This window comes from Homo sapiens, chromosome 8 (genome assembly GCF_000001405.40).
Source record: "Homo sapiens chromosome 8, GRCh38.p14 Primary Assembly".
Taxonomy (NCBI): domain Eukaryota; kingdom Metazoa; phylum Chordata; class Mammalia; order Primates; family Hominidae; genus Homo; species Homo sapiens.
The window spans coordinates 81,225,812-81,232,444 of record NC_000008.11 but is presented as its reverse complement, the minus strand read 5'-3'; the positions used below and the strand labels follow the sequence as shown (position 1 = coordinate 81,232,444).

General features: G+C 41.9%; 1 annotated feature.

Annotated features, from left to right (window-relative positions):
• Positions 1,776-1,915: an enhancer, noted in NCBI's record as "active region_27580". NCBI's record gives its function as "activates an Ori minimal core promoter by ATAC-STARR-seq in GM12878 lymphoblastoid cells {active_cell/tissue: GM12878}" and the evidence as "EXISTENCE:reporter gene assay evidence [ECO:0000049][PMID:35858748]".

The window sequence follows — 6,633 nt, the reverse complement described above, 5'->3', positions numbered from 1 at the left end:
GTTCACCTATGAATGAGCAAACACGTGCACACACACACATACATACACGCAAACATACACACACACCAAGAACAGTATTAATGCTGGGCAAAGAATGAAACCAAGATGATGGGTGAGCAGGAATCTACGGAAGCCTCTCTGAAGAAGCTGGCCAAATAAATACCTGGGGCTGGGTGCCATGGCTCATGCCTGTAATCCCAGCACTTTGGGAGGCTGAGGCAGGAGGATTGCTTGAGCCCAGAAGTTTGAGACCATCCTGGACAACACAGCGAGACCTTGTCTCTACTAAAAATAAAAAAACAAAAAATTAGCCAAGTACACTGGCACATGCCTGAGCCCCAGCTACTAGGGAGGCTGAGGATGGAGGATCACTTGAGCCCAGGAGTTCAAGGCTGCAGTGAGCTGTGATCACATAACTGCACTCCAGCGTGGATGACAGAACGAGACCCTGTTGCAAGAAAAAAAAAAAAAGATCTAGGAAAATGCATCCTGACGCCAAGGAAGCAGGGAAGCAGTGGGGTCAAAGGTTCTATGTTGAACTAACTCTGAAAAACAGAAAGGAAGCTGCTGAGACAGAGCTTGGGGCTGGAGCGTGCTCACGAGGTGGAGCAGGTAAGATTTCCTTGGCCAGAGTCAGGCCTTCAGATTAAGTGCCATATATTCTGTCTCCAAACCCAACGATTACATTACCTTGCCATTGAGAAATGTAGGACTTTACATGAGAATGAAAGAGACTGAGTGAGGCCGAGAGTGAATTAATGAAAGTCTAATAAATATTTTTATGTTCAGTGAACAAAATAATGAAAGTGATCAAGACCACTTATCGTGCCTTCTAAAGAGATACCACCTTCCTCACTCCTCGTTTAGCAACACTTCAAAATTGTATCCAGTCACCTCTTCATATTTGTGAAGATCTTCTTTCAGGTTTATTTATATATCTATTTATTTGCTGTAGTGATGTAGTAGTTTATGAATTTTTGTTTGTTATGCCAACTCTATGCTAATATATGCAAATTAGTGATTATGTTTTTGAAAAGTTGTCTCTCTGAGTGGAACACAATATCAATATGTGATACTTAAGCACTAAATCACAACATAAACAGCAAGGAGATCATTTCTTTTCGTGAGATAGCAATGAGCACAGCAAACCCAAAGGCAGAGAAGCAAGAGACAGGGGTGTGGCGGGCTGCTCAGGCTGGGCTGATTTCATTTTATAACTTGGAATTCACAGCAATGTGCCCATATTTAATACGACATTATCATGGCTTATATGGGTTACATAAAAGTAATTCTGCAAATCCTAAAACACTACAGTAGAGTATTTTGTGGATAGAAAGGGCTTACTTGATTGAAATTCTTAGTAAAGAAATGTTACAATCAATGAATGTTATTTTAAAGGAATTCAAGATGAAAAAAATAATTGAGTCTGTAAAATTTTAGGCATTCCTTATAAATCCTAAGTAATTATCATTATCATTATTATCATACGAATTTACTATGAATTTACGTGGTCAAGCAGTAAACAATGAGTGGATTGTGTATCTACTATCTCATTTAATCCTCCCACCAATCTTATGTGAGTGGCCTATTTTAACAAATATAGAAATTGAGCCTTAGGAATATTAATTAACTTGTCCAATATCACACTTGTCAGTGATTCCATGGCTGAAGTTTTACTCCAAGTCTGTCAAAGTTCAGAGCCTCAGCTCTTAAGCACCACATGTACTGTCTCAGAAGGAGGATAGACCAGAAAAACAAAAATGGTCCTCTGGGGCAGGCAATTTCATAATGACTGTAAAAGCTATTAAAAAAAAATTTCATCTTCTGAGTAAGCCGGAGATTCATTTCCATGTTTCTACTCACTCATTTATTCAACAAGTATTTACATGTCAGGCAGTGTTCTCTGCACTGAAAATAGGATAAGAAATGAAACAAAATCTCTACCCTCCAGAAGCTTATAGTAGGGGAGATGTATTAGTTTTCCAGAGCTGATGTAACAAATTACTACACATTGGGTGGTTTACAACAATAGAAATTTATTCTCTCATAGTTCTGGAAGCCAGAAGTTCAAAATCAAGGTGTGGCTGGTAGGGCTGCTGATCCCTCTAAAGACTCCAGGAGATAGTCCTTCCTTCCCTCTTCCAGCTACTGATGGCTGCAGGAGTTCCTTGACTGTGACTGCATCACTCTAAGCTCTGCCTCCTGCGTGTGGCCTTCCCCACTGTGTCTTCTCCCCTCCATTCTCCTATCAGGACTTGGCACTGGATATAGGATCCATCTGGGTAATCCAAGATGATCTCATCTCAAGATCCTTAACTTAATTACCTGGGCAAAAATCTTTTTTTCTGAATAAAGTTCCAATCTCAGGCTCTGGGTATGACATCATGGGGAAGGACTCCCCATTGAGCTGTCCACCTGCCCAACACTTTGCATGACAAAAAAGATGTCCACTGTGTTTGAGGCATCCTAGAATTCTAGTTCTACTCACTATAGCAGTTATCATTTCTTAAGGAATACACAGCAGGGAGAGCATTAAAGCAGCAGGTACAAAGCCCTGACAAAGAGCATGCTCCGTGTGTTCGCAGAGAAGCAGGAAGGACAGCCAGTACAGCTGGAATGAAGTAGGCAATAAGGAAAGTGCCAGAAGATGAAGTTGTAGAGGTCCAGGGGCCACATCATGTACCATTACAGATGACAATAGACTACTCTAACTTGGGAAGTCACTGCAGAATTTAACTGAGGAGTGACATAATTTAAGAGGATTACCATGGCTTCTGCAAGGAAAACAGAATGTAGAAAGGCAAGTGCTTGAAGCAGGGAGACCAGTTAGGAAGCTATTGCAGTCATCAAAGCAAGACCTGGTGGTGCTTAGTTTAGGCTTGTATCAGTCAAGGTGGGAGAGTGCGTAGGTGAGAGAGATGTTTTAAAGGTATAGCCAACAAGATTTCCTGACAGATTGAGTACAAACGTGAGAGGATGAGAGAACATGAGGATGACTCTGAGGTTTTGGGGCTGATCCAGAAGGATGAAACTGCCATTTACTCTGTTCCATAAAGGCAACCCTCATGTCAATATCCCATGGACACCTACAGTGACCACGATGCAGCCTTCACAGAGCCTCTGGATGAAGAATTCTTAAAGAGAAATAGCAGGACTAAAAAAGATTTGTTGCTTCTATTCTTTGGGACATGCTCTCAGTATGCTTTCATCCTCCCACACAAAAGATTTTTTTTCTTTTTAAGTGTTGCCATCTACTCTGTATTTGACACCTGTGTGGTTTTATTGTGTGTGTTTTTTTTTTAAGTGTACATTAGTGGTTTTTGTCTGCAGAACACGTTTACAAAAAGCAGGAACTATTGCTATTTGAGTATCTATGCACTGTCTTCTTAGATACCTTATGCAATGAATTAGGAACTTAAGTATTGTTTGATAACTGATCACATCATCATTTTGATGTAGCCAAAAAAAAAATAGTCTCCAAATAAAAAGTCCTTCTGTAGGTAGCCTACCTAGCCCAGAGTGTGAGCCCTCAAGAAACAGAAGGATTCTACATATTATCACGACTTCTTTAGAATGAAGAGCAGATTCTTGAAGCGATCATAGAAGATAATTCCCCCTCTATTCTCAGAAAGTGCAAATTTCTTGGAGAAAAAAACTAAGCCCAATGTATGTTTTATTCTACAAAGAATCCTTTTCTCCTGCTTCCTAGCCATTAAACAGATGCCGTTTCCAAATAAGTGATTGCTATGGTATGAATGTTTGTCCCCTCGAAAACTCATGTTGAAATGTAATTGTCATTGTAACAGTATTAAGAGGTAGGATTTTAAAGAGGTGATTAGCATGAGGGCTTCACCCTCATGGATGGGATTAGTGCCCTTATAAAAGGGTGCATCCTTCTCCACTTTTGCTCTCCTTTGGCTCTTCTGCCACACAGAGACCAGTGTTTCTTCCCTCGAGAGGATGCAGCATTTAAGGCGCGGTCTTGGAAGCAGAGACCAGGCACTTACCAGACAACAAACCTACCGGCACCTTCATGTTAGACTTCCTAGCTTCCAGAACTGAAATAAATAAATCTCTGTTCTTTGTAAATTACCCAGTCTCAGGTGTTCTCTTATAGCACCGCGAAGTGAGCTGAGACAGTGATGACAGCCCTTTTCTTGATGCTAAATAAAAATATCTTTTAGATTGCAACAGAAGAAAGTTATTCAAGAAAAATATTAACAGGCAAATTCATTCAGACCCCTAGTCTACAACGTTCCTTAGCAATAGGTATAGACAAATACATGATAAATTTTTAAAAAATATGAAACAGCTCTATTTCTTTCTGGATACAGGTCTGAGCAGGACATGGGTTCTTAGCTTGTTATCCTTTGGGCTGGCTCAGGACAAGGAACAGGATCTGGATAGTAGCACCAAATTCTCTTGGGCAAAGGTTTATGATCCACCTAATAAGACAAGGTATCCAATATTCAAAGATGAAAATTTGGTCCTGCTCCCCAGTGGACAGTAGGCATCAAAACTAGATTGAATTCCGATTTTCCACCTGTGCTACACAGAGTAGGTTTACTGCATTACAAACAAACACAAAATGTGCATTCCGTTTTCTCTAATGTTGCAGTCCAATGTTGAGTTCCCTTTCCAGACAGCTTTCTGCCATATCCTTCATGGACTGAGGCTTCTTCCATTGTGGCTCCTCCCTTCTCCTGATCTTCTTGTCCTCTCCAGTAAATCACAAGAGGGAAAGGGGCATGTGTAGACTTGTGGGCAAGTTTTTATGAGACAGCCTTAGAGAAGAAACACATTTCTTCCCACATTCCGTTAGCTAACTCAGTCACGTGGCCACAGTGAACAGGAATGGAGGGAGGGAAAACCTGACAGTTGAGTGCCTAGGAAGAAAAGGAAATGAGTCATGGAGGACACATCACAGATGGGACATTGGTTTGTTATTTCCAAACACGAAAATCAGCCAGCTGCAGTGGCTCACAGCTGTAATGCCAGCACTTTGGGAAGCCGAGGCAGGAGACTTGCTTGAGCCCAGGAGTTTGTGACTAGCCTGGACAACACTGTGAGACCCTGACTCTACAAAAAATAACAATTAAGAAAATAGCTCAGTGTAGTGGTGTGGGCCAGTAGTCCCAGCTACTTGGAAGGCTGATCCCAGGAAGTCAAAGCTGCAGTGAACCATGATTATGCCACTGCACTCTAGCCTGAGTGACAGAGTGAGACCCTGTCTCAAAATAAAAAAATCAGAAAACATGGAAATCTGTTGGTGGCAGAATCTTCGTGGACTTGCCAAGATTTTACGTATTACTATTGCCTTTGTTGTTTTAATATTTATAAGGAAACATCACCCAGCCAAAGAAAATAAATAGAAACAAAAAACTATGTTGAGGTGTTCATAAGAATCTTTGAAATAGAATCTTCAAATTCTTTTGTCAGTTCCTCATCATTTATTATGTTAAGGAAAAGTCAAGCACCCATTATTTCTTATTTTTAAAATATTAATTTTCAGGAGCCTTCCATTTCTGGATTCTGTATAAGCCCAAAATCTCCAGTTTTTCCTGGCTCTCTACTCTTCACAAGGAATCAGTCATCCTGAAAGAGAAAAACAGAAGTACCTATAAATGTGGTGTGATGAAGGAAGAGATTCATCAGTCAGATTATCTTAAGTGGCTCCAGGCAAGGAAGGAAGATGGTGGATAGGAGACAAGGCTAATGTGCACCTCCCACATGTATGGACAGAACTGCATGTGGAGACTCACACCATGAACTTTTGCTCAAAGAACCACCACAGGAATATACCAGAAAATACAAATGCATTCACAAATCCTTTGAAAGAAGTGGCATGCCACTGCAAATTTCATGACACAGGGAAAAACTGTGAGTTCCCAAAGTGTGAGAGGGGGAAATCCTGCCTCTGAACACACATCCCCACTGGGGAACCTGAAAATCCAGGTCACAGGAGAAAGAGCTAACCTTATGCAGAGCTAAAAAGGATTTAGGGAGCCACATGAAACATAAAAGCAGAAGCGGCTGCAGAAAGAGCCTTGTAGGCAGTCCCAGTCCCCAGCTCAAGCCCAGGGAAGCCATCCCTGACTATATTTCACAGGGGCCTTAGGGGAAGGAAGCCAACAGAATTAGGGAGGAGTCACAGGGTGAAAGAAGCTCCCAACTGAGCTTCCTAATAATTTTCAAATGGGCACAAGTTTTCTTAAGCAGAATCCAGGGGGTGAATGAGAACTGCTACATATACAAGCACAGGAGCTGCTGCTGACATCATGGGCAGACAGGGAGGGACCAGGCCCTAAAGTCATGCTTGCTTCCTCAGCGAGGAAGCATATAACCTGGAGCAAGGTCTGAGTCCCATGCACAGGCTGCCTGGATCTAAACTTTGTGCTGTTAGTGGGACACTGAGGGAGTGAGACCGGCTTCACCAACTGTGTGGGAGCTGGGTGAGGTCTATTGCTACCAGCTTTCCCCCCTACTTCCCTAGTGAACTATATGGCCCAGCAGAGACAGTCATAATCCCTTCTGGAGCATAACCCCATTGACCTGAGAACCACCTTCCCATCTCCCACAATGGTTGCAGCAAGCCCTGCACAAGGTCAGTCTAAGCTCAGACCCACCTAACCC